General features: G+C 43.5%; 1 protein-coding gene across 2 annotated transcripts in view; it reads left to right on the plus strand.

Moving 5' to 3' along the window:
• The window catches only part of DEPTOR (DEP domain containing MTOR interacting protein), a 177,197-nt gene that overhangs the window by 127,700 nt on the left and 31,522 nt on the right, over window positions 1–17,975 (plus strand). For both annotated transcript variants that reach the window (NM_022783.4, NM_001283012.2), the window contains 4 exons: window positions 104–289; window positions 1,556–1,690; window positions 5,384–5,454; window positions 7,608–7,712. In NM_022783.4, the coding sequence (NP_073620.2) occupies window positions 104–289; window positions 1,556–1,690; window positions 5,384–5,454; window positions 7,608–7,712 (497 nt within the window). The remainder of the gene's footprint in view (window positions 1–103; window positions 290–1,555; window positions 1,691–5,383; window positions 5,455–7,607; window positions 7,713–17,975) is intronic.

The raw sequence follows: 17,975 nt of genomic DNA on the forward strand, positions 1-17,975 counted from the left end.
TTCTTGAGACTTTTGCCGCTGTTGCCTGCAGTCCTTTGGCTGTAGCGCTCAGTGGCCAGGATGCCAGATAGTCCTCATTGGTTGTTTTTTTTTTTCTCCCCAGTGTCCAACAAGCACCCATTTGTGGACAGCAATCTTCTCTACCAGTTCAGAATGAACTTCCGGCGGAGGCGAAGACTGATGGAGCTGCTCAATGAAAAGTCCCCCTCCTCCCAGGAAACTCATGACAGTCCCTTCTGCCTGAGGAAGCAGAGCCATGACAATCGGAAATCTACCAGCTTTATGTCAGGTATGCCATCCCGGCATTTATTGGAGCTCAAGTGTTTGTCTTTTGAGAAATAGTGGAGCCATGACTCACCTTTGTGAAATTCTGTTCTCTATCAGAGCGTAGAATTTTTACTTATTCATAACCAAGAAGCATGAAAAAAATTCTGAAACCCTAAGTTTTTCTTGCACAGCCAACTTAGATGCCAGGACTCTGTTTTATAAAATTATGTATTTGAATTATAGAAGTCCTCTAGGCTCTCACTCAAACCTCATTTACTTTTCATTTACAAGCCATTCTTGCCTGGCATGGTGGCACACATCTGTAATCTCAGCTACTTGGGAGGCTGAGGTGGGAGAATCACTTGAGATCAGGAGTTTGAGACTAGGCTGAGCAATATAGCAAGACCTCATCTGTCCAAAAAATTTAAAAATAAATAAATAAATACAAGTTTTTGTTTGTTTATTTGTTTAGACAGAGTCTCGCTCTGTTGCCCAGGCTAGAGTGCAGTGGTGCAATCTTGGCTCACCACAACTTCTGTCTCCCGGGTTCAAGAGACTCTCCTGCCTCAGCCTCCCAAGTAGCTGGGACTACAGGCACGTGTCACCATGCCTGGCTCATTTTTGTATTTTTAGTAGAGATAGGGTTTCACTATGTTGGCCAGGCTGGTCTCAAACTCCTGACCTCGTGATTCTCCTGCCTTGGCATCCCAAAGTGCTGGGATTACAGGTGTGAACCACTGCGCCCGGCCTTACAAGTAGTTTTTATATATCATTTAATTATTCAGTTTTGTAAATCACAACTTTGCAAAGCTATCCATTTCAAAGATGAATAAGAAGATTATTTCTGTGGGCATTTACACCAGTAACCACAAAAAAGTGACTGGTTATCCACCCGTTATCAGGGGTGACAGAGAACAAATCTCTACTAAAAGTACAAAATTTAGCCGGGCGTGGTGGCGGACACCTATGGTCCCAGCTACTCAGGAGGCTGAGGCAAGAGAATCGCATGAACCCAGGAGGCAGAGGTTGCAGTGAGCCCAGGTTGTGTCACGTACTCCAGCCTGTGCAACAGGGCAAGACTCCATCTCAAAAAAAAAAAAAAAATATATATATATATATATATAATATAAAGTAAGTGGCAGAGCTGCAACTCAAGTTCTTGTTTTTCTGCCACTAAGACCAGTGTGCTTTCTCCTGGCCCCTCTGGACCTTGCAGTTGAAAGCCTATGTGCTCTAGTGAGCCGAGACCACCCCCTTGGTGACTGTGTGTGTTCTCTGGCCTACACAGTGAGCCCCAGCAAGGAGATCAAGATCGTGTCTGCAGTGAGGAGAAGCAGCATGAGCAGCTGTGGCAGCAGCGGCTACTTCAGCAGCAGCCCCACCCTCAGCAGCAGCCCCCCTGTGCTCTGCAACCCCAAGTCCGGTGAGTGCCCAAAAGGTGGCCCCGCTCCTAAGACTGTGGGGACTTGGGCAGGTCCCTGGGAAGCAGAATCTGAGATAGCGGGAGACTAGTGTGTGGGTTCTAATAAGTTAGAGCATGCTCTTGGGGTCCACACGTGTTGAATGGAAGGGAAGGAAGAATTGGGCTGAAGGAGAAATTGGGTTGTAGCCCAGTCTCAATGAAGGCTATCATTGACCCAGTAAGACCTCTGGAGCTGGGATGGCCCTTCCAAGTTGCCTGGAGTTGTGTTGAGGGGGCTGGGCCTTTAGATCCACATGTTGGCCACTTATTAGGTATTGGCTGCCCCTGGGAGGAGGGCATGACCTTGGGCAAAGCAGGTGTCTTCAGAGAGATGGTCTCCAAGACAGCTGAGGGCTGTCACCATTAGCACTCTCGGAGCTGGGAGAAGTCCCTGAGCCCTGAAGGGTGTTTTGGGCAGTATGTGACAGTGCTCACAGCAGGGGAAACAGCACTTCCCCAGAATGCAGCCGATGCATAAGATCTGTTGGGGCCCAACACCCTTAAGGAAGAAGCATGGATGTGTGCAAACCCAGCTATCCCTGGAATTGACCCTGGGTGTCTTGTGGTTTCAAAATCTGCTCATCAACCTCCATGGCCTTTATATTCCAGGAAAAAAATCTAGGCACAAAATTGTTGGTGAACATGTACTTAGAAACAATCCTTCCTCCACCCAATCAGTTCATCAACCACCCAGGAACTGGTAATCCATTGAAACTACCCTTTCTCACCATCCCTTACCCACCTAATGTCCTCACTTGCCAGGATGAGGATGTGTGGTCCATCACTACAGTAACCGCCAGAGAACACTCTCAAACCCATTTGTTTAAGGCACTGTCCACCCCCAGTTCAGTTTGTCACCTTCGAGGAAGAGGCTCTGTTCCTTTTGTTCATGTTGTTTCCTCATCATCAGATCTTGGGGATACAAAGATGACAGGTCATAACCCCCAACTCAATGAAAACACCACCTCTTTGGAGAAAAAAACAAAACATTTCATGTTAGTAAGAATAAGCACTAATTGATGCAGTTCAAAAGGCTTTGAGAGAAAACTCTGTCATCTAATGGTATTATCTAGGAAGGTGGCTCTTTTTCCTGATCTAACTTTTTTTCTTTTTTTGCTGCCTTCTGGAGTGTTAGCAGCAGGAATAAATGTAACCTGTAAGTGAATGAAGAAGCTTGCTTCCATACTGTCCTGGCTGAAGAGTCGTTGAGTACTGGGTTTTTCAATTACTGGAGCTTGCTGCTAAAGTAGAATGAAAAAGGAGAACTGAATTCTTAGAAATGGGATGTTTGAAGCCTTTGTAGAAATCTGACAGGCATCCTCAAAGTTAAAAGCAAAAGATCTCAGTTTCAATAAAAGGGTCAGTGGTGCCATAACCATTTTACAAGTTTTTGATTGCTTATGATGGAGTATGAAAAAAGTGTTAATTACTGAAATTAGCAACAAAATCCATGTTCCCTGAGGTAGGTTAGCATGTTTCCTCTTTCTCCTTGCCTCTGGGTCAAAGGGAAGAGTTTACTGTTATGCAGGCAGAAGAAAAAGGTCTCGTTTCCTTTCGTGGGTCCCCAAGGACAAGAGCTGTCAGGACTGAGTTGTGGTTTGTAAATTCCACTTCTTACCCATAGTTTGACAAGCTTCTCTCTCACTCTTAAGAGGATTCCCAAGACCCAGTGAGTTCATCTGTGATTTTTTTTTCTCAAGCAGATGATCAGGCCTTCACAGTGATGCATTTAAAAATTAATTATCTGAAATACACCAGGATATGTTTTTTTAGTACTGTATATAAATGCCCTAAGCCAGACACAAAAAACAGTACTAAAGATATTGATGTTATCAGTATCATTGTGATAAGCAAATAAGCTTCCAAGGATATGAAAAGAAAAAAGTTTTCCCTAGGCCTCAAAGTTTCTATATTTTTCAACATAATAAAGAGAAGTGCATTAAAATGAATGGTCAGCTCTGCTGCCAAATAGTACAGTGTGATTCATGTATCCAAATTCATAAGCCCCCTGAGGGTTTATGGGGAGTGGAGAGAGAGTTACCTGACAGGGAATAAAAAAGATCTCAGTCCTCAAATACTGACCACTTTTCTTACCTCCCATCCATCTGCTGAGAGATTCTGTTTCCATCTTGATATTTGACCTACTCCCTCTTGTTTGGCGAACATAAATTAATTTTTGCTTTTATGAGATTTCTGAAAGCAAAGGTGATAAGATCAGCAACCTGTCACCTCAACAAGAAGCACTGGATTGCCTTTCACTGAGAGGGTGCTTCTCAGGCCAGAAGGCCGTTCATGTAACCAGTGGGCGAGGTCCAGCTGCCTGGTAGATCATCACGCCTTGCCCCACGCTGCCTTTCCTTGTCTGCTGCACACTCTTTCCAGGACTGGTACCTGGCCTCTGACTGTCACTAGCAAAGGGGATCGGAGGATGCCACCTCACCAGGTTAGGCCCCTTGGCTGGGGCCTTTTCTGTTTCTCTGTGGCACTTCAAGTTCACAATGTCTGCAGAGCTGGATTAGAATGGTCTCTGTCCCCTGACCCCCTGGCTACTTGGGGAGGATACGACAGCCCCTCTCCAGTTCTTAGTGAGCACAGGATGGATGGGGGGGTTCATTATCGGTGGGTTTTAGGCAGCCGCAAGTCAGGAATTGGCTGCTGTCTGCCATCTTGGTGGGCAACAGCAGTGAGCTGATGTGAACGGGTGTCTCAGGAGGACAGCATGCCACTATCTTCCTGAGCTTCTAGACCCTTTCTTTTGCTTGCAGGACAGCATGGCCCAGAGTAAATGTGGCACAGTAGCTGAGAGTGTGGGTGCTGGTGTCTAATGCCTGAGTTTGATTCTACTTCTGCCACCCATTCGCTCTGGGACCTTGGACACAATCAATTTAACTTTTCTAAGGTTGTTTTTGCAGTTATAAAATGGGGATAACAATGATCCTAACTCATTCATTCTTGTGATGATTAAGTGAGTTAATATATTCACCTCACATGGTGCCTCTCTAGCATATGTTGAGTACTCAGAAAAGTTCACTAGCATTATTACTCATGGCAGAAAGCAGTGGGTACATGCAGTCCTAGGTGTTAAGAAGGAAGTGAGGCTGGGCGGCTCATGCGTGTAATCCCAGCACTTTGGGAGGCTGAGGCAGGCAGATTGCCTGAGGTCACGAGTTCAAGACCAGCCTGGCCAACATGGTGAAACCCTGTCTCTATTAAAAATACAAAAATTAGCCAGATATGGTGTTGGGTGCCTGTAATCCCAGCTACTCAGGAGGCTGAGGCAGGAGAATTGCTTGAACCCAGGAGGCGGAGGTTGCAGTGAGCCGAGATCGCATCATTGCACTCCATCCTGGGTGACAAGGGCAAAACTCCGTCTTTAAAAAAAAAAAAAAATTGACCTGCCCCCTTATCCCCACCCCTGGCACTCTTGCTTTCCTTCTCTTTCTTTTTTTCCTTAGCTTTGTAAGGTAGGTTTAGGGTTATTTATGTTTGCTGCTATTTACTGTCTCCATTCAGCTAAAATATAAACTGTGAGGCAGGGATCTTTGCCACTTTTTCTCACTGATGGTCACCTACGAGATATCAATAAATAGCTGCTGAATGCATGGATAGAGGACTTGGAAGTGCTTATGTCTTGACATTGTGTTTGTCTGCCAGTGCTGAAGAGACCTGTCACCTCTGAGGAACTCCTTACTCCCGGGGCTCCGTATGCAAGGAAGACATTCACGGTAGGCTGATGGTCTGGCCTTTTTCTCCCGTGCTGCCCATTTTTCTGCACCGTGTCCATGTGTCAATGGGTAGCTTATAGACTGAAATGAAAACTACTTTTCTAATTTTCTTTTTGTTTTTAGCGTAATTATGATACTAGGCTTTCTTGACCTCAAGGCACTAAGGTGCATTAGGACTTCACATGCGTTATTATTAATATACCATTTAAAAATTTTTTGATGTGTTCTTTGTTAAAGAAAAGATTTCCATTATGCATTTATTCTAATTTAATTGCAAATTTCAAGATTGGCATCATTTGCACTTGCATTTACCTTAAAATCTAATAATTTTAGATTTTATTTCCCACCATTAGTCATTTAAATTATTATTAGATTTTATGGCAAATGGAAGTGCAAATGATGCCAATAATCCCTTCTGCATTAGGATTAATTCTAGAAATTATTTAAAACATTAGGGGAGTGTTAAGCTAGAGAAAGGAAACTGTGGGATAAACTTTTCTACCGTAGGCAGGGTGCTTCGACAATGTGTGCATGCCTTGAGGTACACGAGCCTCTGACTTGCTGTGAGCAGCTCCGGACCACCTGCCCCTTCTTGGAGGTCCTTTAGGTTCCTAATGCCTACGTTGGATTTCTTCAAATGGAATGAAAGTGCTCTTTTCAGCATCACCGCACCCACTCCCCTTCCTGTGTCTCCTTCTGTCAATCTCCTCAAATTCACGTTCATACCCTCTTCAAAACACTTCTCCTCCTTCATCTTCTAACTTTAGTGGCATTGCCTCAGGCTGGGGGAGAATTCTATCCACACTCAGTCATGCTGCAAACATTTGCTGAGGGCTATTTCACATTCTGAATGCTGAGGAGTTAATAGGAGAAAGGCGCTGACAACATGTCTGTACCAGAGGAAAAGATAAACTCCACCTTCGGAAGTGAAATTGAGTATAATATACAAATAACAGCAAACTGTAAAGTAACGGAAGTGCCTGAAAATCTTGAGCATTTCCACAAAAATTTTCATTTGCCTCCCTGTTTTTCCTCAGTCTCCAGCATTCAAGAGAGGTAGATTGTTATTTTGAAAGTATTTATTTTTGATTTTTAATTTAAATGCCAACATTGTTAGTAATTGATTGTGAATGTGTTTCAGCTGTGTTTTGGTTGGGATATGTGTGAAAGATGTGGCTAGGAGCTGTCCAGGGAATTAAACTGCCAGCTCTAATAATGATTTCTATAGAAAAGGCCTTCTCTAATTCCAAACAACTTTTGGATTAGAGTCTACTTGTACATTGTGAACTTTATGTACTTTTTCACTTCTTTTCCCCCCTTGGTGGAGAAAGGGGCATGGTGGAGCCCTTGGTGGAGGGCTCCCTTGGTGGAGGCTGGGCATGGTGGCTCACGCCTGTAATCCCAGCACTTTGGAGGCTGAGGCAGGTGGATCACCTGAGCTCAGGAGTTCGAGACCAGCCTGACCATCATGGTGAAACCCTGTCTCTACTAAAAATACACAAAATTAGCCAGGCATGGTGTTGCATGCCTGTAATCCCAGTTACTCAGGAGGCTGAGGCAGGAGAATCGCTTGAACCCGGGAGGTGGGGTTGCAGTGAGCTGAGATTGCACTACTGCACTCCAGCCTGGGTGACAGAGCAAGACTCTGTCTCAAAAAAAAAAAAAAAAAAGCCAGGTCTCTTTATTTCCCACCATTAGTAATTTCAATAATTATGCTAGACTTCAATGACGTTGCAGGATCAAGAGTGTATCATTTGGATACTGGGGAAAAGAACAAACTTAGAGCAGAAATTGTATCTGGAGAGACATTTCAACCACGTTACGACTTTTTCTAAACCTTCTATTGGAGTCTGACATTAAATTGTATAACAGCCTAAGAAAGAGAAAATCTTCCAGTTGTTTATTGAATCATGCCCTCATGGGAGCATCTTCTTTCTGCCAAACAGGTTAGATTTTTTTTACCACCTTTTCTACAGGGAGATGCCCGGGTTTGTGATAGAAGCAGTGTTCCAATCCCCTGGCAGGGAAGAGAGAAACGGAGGAAAATATGTCACAGTGTATACTTAATCCTGGGCTGGTTTTCTCTCCCTCAGAAGAATAAGCAAATTGCCGGAGACAGTCGGCTGCTTGCTAATTGTGGTTTTCCTCTCTAGATTGTTGGTGACGCGGTTGGCTGGGGTTTTGTGGTGCGAGGAAGTAAGCCATGCCACATCCAGGCTGTAGACCCCAGTGGCCCTGCAGCCGCAGCAGGAATGAAGGTACTAACGGGTCTTTCTCACCCTCTTTTATATCTGTCTTGGGTTCTTCATGCTAAATTGGCCATGATTCTTACTAGGGATCCAAACCCATCTTATTTTGTGTCCTTTTCTATTTCTGCCCTCTCTTTCTTGTTCTCCAAAGTCTTTAACCTTTCCCTGGGTCTTCCCTCTCCTCTAATAAACATTTAGAAGTGTCTAGCCAGGCGCGGTGGCTCACACCTGTAATTCCAGCACATTCAGAGGCCAAGGCAGACATATCACTTGAGGTCAGGAGTTCAAGACTAGCCTGGCCACCGTGGCGAAACCCTATCCCTACTAAAAATACAAAAATTAGCCGGGCGTGGTGGCACACACCTGTAATCCCAGCTACTCAGGAGGCTGAGGCAGGAGAATCGCTTGAACCCAGGAGGCAGAAGTTGTAGTGAGCCAAGATCGCACCACTGCACTCCAGCCTGGGTGACAAAGCGAGACTCTGTCTCTAAAACAAAACAAAACAAAACAACAACAACAACAACAAAACAACATTTAGCAGTGTCTAAATACCTCTAGCTTAATTTCATTATTTGGTGCCATGTGTACTTTTTCTCCCTAAGCGTTTTGGCTTCATTTTTGTCAAATTTCCTTTTCCCTTTCTGAATGGGGTTAAAATGAAGCCAAGCACATATGATATAGGAACCAGGAGAGCAAGTTTTACTACCTCCCTGGTGTTTGGAGGTTTGGTCTCCAAACCTCCCCTGGTGTTTTACATGTTTCCCCTCAACCAATACTGAATTTGAAAAATTATGTATTTCCCTTTGCTTAAATCTTTGTGTAAGAACTCCAATGCTTCTATTCTATGCAAGGTGTATTCCTGTGGGGTTTATGTAACCGGTAGCACATAATAGACCATACGACATAGCCAATACTGAGAAAAAGAAAACAAAAACCATGAACTTTGGCAGAGATCTGGAGATCTAGATCTCGGTCCTGTTAGCTACTAGCTCGTTGACTTTGAACAAGTTTTATAGCATCTCAGAGTCTGTTTTCTCCTCTCTGAAATGACAATCATACTATTTCCCGTTGTTTTATGGATTAAATGTGTGGAAACCTTGATAAAGTACAAAGAGCTACACAAACAACAATTCATTAATGAATGAATTATGGAAGATTTTTGAAAATAACTGTTACATATTTTTTAGTACTAAAATGATACATATACGTGCCAGGTATGGTGGCTCATGCCTGTAATTCCAGCATCTTGGGAGGCTGAGGCGGGTGGATCACTTTAGGTCAGGAGTTCAAGACCAGCCTGACCAACATGGTGAAACCCGGTCTCTACTAAAGATACAAAAAATTAGCCAGGCGTAGTGGCTCATTCCTGTAGTCCCAGCTGATCAGGAGGCTGAGGCAGGAGAATTGCTTGAGCCTGGGAGGCAGAGGTTGCAGTGGGCTGAGATCGCACCAATGTACCCCAACCTGGGTGACAGAGTGCAAGACTCTGTCTCAAAAAAAAAAAAAAGAAGAAAAAAACACACATATACAGTCAAGAAAATTTGGAAAATATATGCAAGCAGGAAAAAAATTAAAATTACTTCTAATCTTCCCTAACTCAGAGATGACTACTGTTAACATTTTTTAAGCAGCTTTATTTGAAGTGTGTAATTGGCATCCTATAAAACCTAGCCATTAACATTTTGATTTATATTCTTCTAGACTTCTTGTGTGTGTATATATACTATTTACATTGTTTTTATTTAAGAGGATGTTGAGGTTTTCTGCTTTGAAATACCTTTATATAGCACAGCTTTGTTCTATTGTCTGTGAAATGTTTCACAAAAGGGTATTTCTGTCTTGATTATCCAAAACCATAAGAGGATGCAGAAGGCTTAAAAGCTAAAGATCATTCCCCTGTTCATTTATTCAATACTTTCATCCTCTTCCATCAGTCTTTTCCTAGAGTAGCAATAAGCATGATTGGGATCGCCACCTCTCTGATTTCCAGCATGAGCTCTCTGGCATTGGTTTGCATGCTGGAAAAAATAAGTGGGCAACAGAAAATGGCTCAAGGAAGCAAAGAGCACATTTACTGCTTGCCCAGGTAATCAGCGCTGGTATGATTAGGGGCTGCTTCCACCTTTTGATTTGAACACCTCACTCATGTCAGGGAGGCACAGGCCCTGGGGTCCTGTGCTCTGGGGCAGCCATGGAAGCCCTGCTTGCGAAGGCGGTGCATGGCAGAGCCCTTCTACCTTCCCAGGACTGCAGCAGGCACAGCACCAAAGCAACTCAGAGTAGGAATGTTGGCCAGGATCATAAAAAAGCAAGCATTTGTGTCCATGCCAAGGCTGAATTTTTCATTTTCTAATGGAACTCTTGGCTGGGGAAGGATTTTATATTTTATTTCCACAATAAAGTACCTGGTATAAATTTTTTTTGGCACAATGCTTCAGTTCTGAGTGTGCACTCACTCGCATGATGCTTTGGCTTAAAGAGCATTTCTTTTGAGGAAAGCAATGAATTTATTTACATTGCAACTAAAGACCTTGTTTTGCTTAGCCAAATGTACAGTGAAATTAATTGATTTAGTTTATCTTTGTTGATGTACATACATAACCGTTCTGGGCATTGTCAACTCATTAACTAACTCTTTAACGTATATTCCCTGATCGATGTTTTACCTGATATATTTTTTCAATTTCATAAGCTAATACTTCATATGGTTTATATGTTTAGTTTCTTCAGAGGTACACAGTGGTTTTCTTATGTTATAGAGCTTTACAGAGTTCATTAGAGCAGCCTTTCCATCACTGTATTATTACACAGCTCCCTGGTCCAGCAAAACATCTGTCCTGAGGTTCTCTGATCAAAGCAGTTTTAAACTGCCACATACTTTATCCCCCTCTTAGAAATTTACAAAGCACATTAGCATATTGAAAACTCTGACAAACCTGGCAGGAGGAAAAAAAAACCTTGTTTAAATTGTTTAACATAACATTTTATCATTTAAGAGAAACATGCAAAAGGAATCTTTATCAGTGTTGTTGTTAAGATATAGCCCTAAAACCCTTCTAAGATTTTTGGCCAAACAGTATTGGAATTGATATAAAGTCATACACCACTTAATGACAGGGTTATGTTCTGTGAAATGGGTTTTAAGGCAATTTTGTCATTGTGTGACCATCATGGAGTGTACTTACACAAACCTGGGTGGTATAGCCTACCACATACCTAGATATAGCCTATTGCTCCTAGGCTATAAACACTGTACAGCATGTTACTGTACTGAATACTGTAGGCAATTGTAACACAATGGTATTTGTGTGTCTAAACATAGAAAAAATAATGAATTGAGCTATAATATTATGACAACTGTGATGTCACTGGGCAATGGGAATTTTTTTTTTAAAGCATTCTTTGTTTTTGTTTTTGTTTTTGTTTTTTTGAGACAGAGTCTGGCTTTGTTGCCCAGGCTGGAGTGCAATGGTGCGATCTCTGCTCATTGCAACCTCCACTTCCCAGGTTCAAGCAATTCTCCTGCCTCAGTCTCCCAAGTAGCTGGGACTACAGGCACGCACCACCATGCCCAGCTAATTTTTGTATTTTTAGTAGAGACAGGGTTTCACCATTTTGGCCAAGATAGTTTCGATTTCTTGACCTCGTGATCCGCCTGCCTCGGCCTCCCAAAGTGCTGGGATTACAAGCGTGAGCCACCACGCCCAGCCGAATTTTTTAGCTTTATTACAATCTTATAAGATGATGGGAGGCCAGGCTCAGTGGCTCATGCCTGTAATCCCAGCACGCTGGGAGGCTGAGGTGGGAAGATCACCCAAGGTCAGGAGATTGAGATCTACCTGGTCAACATGCTGAAACCCAGTGTCTACTAAAAATACAAAAATTAGTCAAGCATGCTGGTGGGTGCCTATAGTCCCAGCTACTCAAGAGACTGAGGCAGAAGAATCACATGAACCCGGGAGGCAGAGGTTGTAGTGAGCCAAGATTGCACCATTGCACTCCAGCCTGGGTGACAGAGCGAGACTGTCTCAAAAAGAAAAAAAAAAAAAAAGATGATGGGACCACCATCACATATGCAGTTCATAGTTGACTGAAACATCATTATGCAGTGCATGACTATACAGAGATATACATTTTTAGTATTACTGTTTGTTGGTTAAATTACAATGATAGCAAATACCATGTCCTTCCGTATAGTTTAGCTGCTTATATTCATTAGAAATTATTTTGTACATTATTTTCTTACCGAAAATACTGACTCAATTATTTCCTATTTTACCATTTGTCATAGAATAATTTCACTTACAAAGAAGCCATTTGTATAATCTATTCGTAAAGGCTTGTTCCCAGCAAGCTGTCATTGCTGCTATCTTCAACTCAGAAAACTGCAGAGTTTGGGGTGTGTAGTCGTCAAGAGGGTCCTGGGGTGCCCTGTGGGAAGGATCCGCCCACTTGGGCACTGATTAACCTGCTAGGTCTGAGTGGTGGAAATTTTCCAGCATTCTGACCACATGCCTCCTTTTGGCATCTCTGACTGTCCAGAGCTGACCTAGGATAGTGTAAAGTGCCTCAGTGTCCCTTCCTGCACTGAATGTCAGGCTCTCCCTTTAGTCAGGGTTCTCATTTTCCCCAGGTTTTGAATGGGGGCAGAGCCCTGCATCTGGGCCTTTGTGGCCACTCCATCCAGTGAGATTTTCACACTTTTGCTATGACTACTTTTTTTTTTTTTTTTTGAGATGGAGTTTCACTCTCGTCGCCCAGCTGGCGTGCAGTGGCGGGATCTCAGCTCACTGCAACCTCCACATCCTGGGTTCAAGCGATTCTCCTGCCTCAGCCTCCCGAGTAGCTGGGATTACAGGCGTGCCACTATGCCCAGCTAATTTTGTGTATTTTTAGTAGAAACGGGGTTTCACCATGTTGGCTAGGCTTGACCAAGCATCTTTGAATTTGAGCTACTCTTATTTTGAAAGTTCTTTTACTTAAAAAATAAAATCTGTAAACGTCGGGCTTGGAGGACTTTTGTTTGGCACTACAATTCTAGAATGGAGCATGAAATATGGAAATCATCAAAAGTTTCATCAACCCATGCAATGCATTTACATCAAGAAGTTGTTTCCTGCATTTTTCCTTTGATGACTTTTCACTCATCCTTGAAGAATTTTATATCCAGGGCTTTTGGTTTCCTTTCAATGCAAAGGGGAAAGGAGCAAACGAGAGAAGGAACTGTCTCTTCTATGTACCTGACCCTGAGCCGTGCAAGGCTCTTTCGCTACAGGAGCTCATTTAATGTCAGCATCCAGATACTCATATCCTAGAGGAAGAAATCATTCCAGGAGGAAAAAAATCTGTCTCTTATCTCTTTGCTGCTACTTTGAAAGGGAAGCCAGTTCCTTCCCCAAGCTATTTTTTTTTCCCTTTTTTTAGACAGAGTCTCACTCTGTTGCCCAAGCTGGAGTGCAGTGGTACAATCTTGGCTCACTGCAACCTCCGCCTCCCGGGTTCAAGCGATTCTTCTGCTTGAGCCTCCCGAGTAGCTGGGACTACAGGCATGTGCCACCATGCCTCATTTTGTATTTTTAGTAGAGACAGGGTTTCACCATGTTGGCCAGGCTTGTCTCAAACTCCTGACTTCAAGTGATCTGCTCACCTTGGCCTCCCAAAGTGCTGAGATTACAGGCGTAAACCACCATGCCCAACCCCCAAGCTATTCTGTAGGTTACAGTATAATGAATATTGTGTAAACGTTAACGTTGGTTTCATGTCACAACCTTGAATGATATAATCTTTTTTTTTTAATCACATCAAGTCTAAACCCATTTCTGGACAATACTATCTATGATAACCTTATTTTACATGATCCTCTAGAAGACATCCTCTGCTTTAGTCAGGGAGAATTTTTACATTTCCGTAATACATCATGATTATGCCTATGTCTGCCTCTCAAGAAAATCTAATTAAGTGACTCAGGCACTCAAAATACTCTAATGGCTCCCCATCACAATAGGAATAAACTCAGATGTTTTCTGTAGTCTACAAAGTTTATAATCCGGGCCCTGCTTATCATACCTTTATCTCCTTCCCTGGCCTTCTGTCTGTTCCTCCCAGACACTGGGTTTTCTCCTGCCTAGGGCTGAATAGCTGGTTCCATTGTTGTCCTTCAAGTCTCAGATTAAATGTTAATTTTTCAGAGAAACCTTCCTTGAATACCCTGTGATATTCCTCCCGTCTTTCTCCAATCACTTCTCCTCATATCACCATGTGGTCTTAGTCATTTTAGGCTGCCGATTAGAATTGATGGCTTAAATGACAAACATTTGTTTGGGAAGTCCAAGATGAAGGTGCTGGCAGGCCCGGTGTTTGGTAAGGGTCTGCCTTCTGGTTTGCAGTTGGTCATCTTGCTATATCCCAACAATGATGATATGGCTCCAATGAGTGGAGGAACACCAGGTTCTTTGTCTCTAGTCAAATTGGAAAAAACGACATGGACACACGTGGAGTGGTTTTAAGAAGTAGAGAGTCTAATAGGCAAGAAAGATGGGAGGAGGCCGAAGATAGATGCTCACCCGTACAGAGACAGAGGGAGGGGGGCTCCAAAGCCGAAAGAGGAGACCCCAGGTGCCATGGATACCAGCCAGTTTTATAAGTAGGCTGGCGGAGGTGGTGTCTGATTTGCACAGGGCTCAGGGGATTGGTTTGACGAGGCATGTCATTCACGTAGCCCGAAAAAGCTTGCCCTCCCACCCTAGCCTTTTAATATGCAAATGCAGGGCACCCTGATGTTCTACACACTCTGGGATAGGTGGGGGCGGCCATGTTGCCAGGAACATGTGGGGCAGGGGCAAGAAGGCCAGGGAATCGCCATGTTTGTATGGACCCAGTTTCTAATGGCCTCCATTTGCATATTAAAGGTTGCTGGCCTGGCTCTAAGAGCTGCTTTAAAAACAAAAACTTCCCTAGGACCCCTTTTCCTCTCTATCTGCCTAAAATAACTTCTTAATAACTCTTTCAACAATGATATAGTACAGAGAGAGCAAGAGCAAGTTCTCTAGTCTCTGCTTATAAAGGCACTAATCTCATTCATTTGGGCTCAACCTTCATGACCTAATTACCTTCCAAGGCCCCACCTTCTAATACCATCACACTGGGGGTTAGAATTTCAATGTATGAATTTTTTTTTTTTCCTTTTTTTTTGAGATGGAGGTTCGCTCTTGTTGCCCAGGCTGAAGTGTAATGGCCCGATCTCAGCTCACTGCAACCTCTGCCTCCCGAGTTCAAGTGATTCTCCTGCCTCAGCCTCCCAAGTAGCTGGGATTACAGGTGTGTACCACCACACCCAGCTAATTTTTTTGTATTTTTATTAGAGACAGGGTTTCACCATGTTGGTCAGGCTGGTCTCAAACTCCTGACCTCAAGTGATTCACGTGCCCCAGCCTCCCAAAGTGCTGGGATTGTAGGTGTGAGCCACCATGCCTGGCCATGGAATTTTTTTTTTTTTAAAGAAAGAGTTTCACCTTGTCACCCAGTCTGGAGTGCAGTGGCCTGAACATGGCTCACTGCAGCCTCCACCTCCTGAGCTCAAGCGATCCTCCTGTCAGCCTTCAATGTAGCTTGGACCACAGGCACATCATGCCACCATGCCTGGCTAATTTTTTTACTTTTTGTAGAGATGGAGTTTCACCATGTTGCCTAGGTTGTTCTCGAACTCCTGACCTCAAGTGATCTGCCCACCTCAGGATACCAAAATCTCCATAAAGTTGAGATTACAGGCTTAAGCCATCATGCCCAACCTCAATGTATGAATTCTGGGAATACTCAAACGTTCAGTCTGTAACACCTGTCTCATTGTCTCCATCATATTTTTTAGAATATGATTATATGTATTTATATGTTACTTGTCCATCTGTTCTCAACGGCTGTCTAAATGTAGAGCCCTTGTCTGTCTTAACTACTATATTCTCAATACCTAGCACAATTCTTGGCTTTTAGTACGTGCTGGAAGCAAATTTACTAAATGATTCAATGAACTGATACTTCCAAAGAAAGGCTCAGGAAATACACTTAGTGACCACTAGCATTGTGTCCCTATGATCTCTCACTGTTCCAACAACTGCTGAAGCTGGGTGGGTAGTGTTCGCCTTACTTTACAAATGAGGAAACCGAGACCCAGCTTATCCATTTCCCAAGGTCACCCAGCTTGTAAATGTCAGAGTTAGATTCAAATCTGATTTATCTCCCCCAACACCCACATGCTTCCTATTGTATTATTTCAAAAAATGCAAACCCATGAGGTGGAGCCCAAGAGATGACATATTCTATTAAACCCTGAAATCCCTGGCAAACTGCTCATAGATGCGTGACCTTTCGTGTCTTCCGCAGAGAGAATTTGTATTCTTGTTGGAGTGGTCACGTGTTCACCTGGGTTGTTTTGGAGAAGATCAAATAAATAATTTTCATTCTTGGCATCAGCTGCTCACTTAGGTCAGGACTAGATCTAGCAGGGTCATCCAAGTGAAAAATCCCAAATCCTCACTTTTGGTAGTTTAATCAAACACTCGTCAGAGCAAACCATTCAGCCTTCAAGCTCTGAAGGAATTTGAGCCCTACTTACAAATCAGGAACAAAAGATATCCTTGCTCTTTTCTGGAAAGTTTATTTTTTCTTATGGGAATAATTAAATCCTGTGAGAGTGTTCAAGTTTTCATGCTACCCTGTGCCAAGTCTCAGAGGGATTTCAAGCCTCCTGGCTTCTTTTCTTGTTTCCTGCCGTGATGAATTGATGGATGTGGACTTAACGGGGCCTTTTTTCTCTGTTTATCTGTTTCTTTGCATATTTACATAGAAACAGAACCATCTGAGTCAGAATAAAGAACTAGTGGCCATGATGTCCTTTTTTTCCTCTTTCAAAATTTCTTATTTTTCATAGCAAGGAAAAAAATGTCAAAATCCTGCTTTTTGGTCTTTCCCTCTGATGGCAACATAACTGTCTATTTCATGGAATTTTCCCCCTGAACCAAGAGAGGCCAGGTTCCTAATTAATTTGGCTAAGATAATTTGGGAACTAAAGAAGCAAATTGTGAAGTAACTATCCACACAAATGAGAAAATGCCTTCTGTGATTTTTTTTTCCCTAAGACATAGATCCTGAAGTGATGTTTTAAAAATATGTAGTTATAACCGGGCGTGGTGGCTCATGCCTGTAATCCCAGCACTTTGGGAGGCCGAGGCAGGCGGATCACCTGAGATCAGGAGTTCGAGACCAGCCTGGCCAACATGGCGAAACCCCATCTCTACTAACAAATACAAAAATTAGCACGGCCTGGTAACACATGCCCACAATCCCAGCTACTAGGGAGGCTGAGGCAGGAGAATTGCTTGAACCCGGGAGGTGGAGGTTGCCGTGAACCAAGATCACGCCACTGCGCTCCAGCTTGTGCAACAGAGCAAGACTGACTCAAAAGAAAAAAAAAATGTAGTTCCTTTCCAGTGGAGTTCAGGAAAGTCATATGGGATAAACAGCATTGTTTTGTATGCAGTGCTATGTCTCACTTTTGCAGAGTTGTAGCTTCTCAGTTAACAGAAAATGATAGGGTCAATGAGCCACTGCCCACCACTGGGCATGACTGGGAGGAGCAAGATGACCACTTTGCTGTGAAGCGGTGGCCTGAGATGGCAGCTTCTCAGGGTCTCAGCACAGAGCCCTTTTCTGCTCTGTGTCCTTCCTTTGCAGGGATTCTTCTGTGCCAGGCTCTGATGCCCTCAGTAATACAGCGATAACAGTGCACAGTTCCTTGTTCACTCACTATTCACTGACCACTACCATGTGCTAGGCATTATGTTAGACCTTCATGGGGTTTATAGCCTAGAGAGGAAGAAGGACATTTTTTAAATGCACAGCTTTTGGCCAGCTGTGGTGGCTCACACCTGTAATTTCAGCACTTTGGGAGACTGAGGCGGACGGACCACTTGAGGTCAGGAGTTTGACACCAGCCTGGCCAACATGGCGAAACCCCGTCTCTACTGAGAATACAAAAATTAGCCTGGCATGGTGGCCCATGCCTGTAATCCCAGCTACTCATGAGGCTGAGGCAAGAGAATCACTTGAACCCAGGAGGAGGAGGTTGCAGTGAGCCGAGATTGCGCCACTGCACTCCAGCCTGGGCAACAAAGTGAGACTCTCTCAAAAATAAAAAATAAAATAAAATAAAATGCATACCTTTTAAGTGTATAGATTGGTAAGTTTATCAGATGTGCACACTGGTGTCACTCTCAATCA

This window comes from Homo sapiens, chromosome 8 (assembly GCF_000001405.40).
Source record: "Homo sapiens chromosome 8, GRCh38.p14 Primary Assembly".
In the NCBI taxonomy this organism is placed as follows: Eukaryota; Metazoa; Chordata; class Mammalia; order Primates; family Hominidae; genus Homo; species Homo sapiens.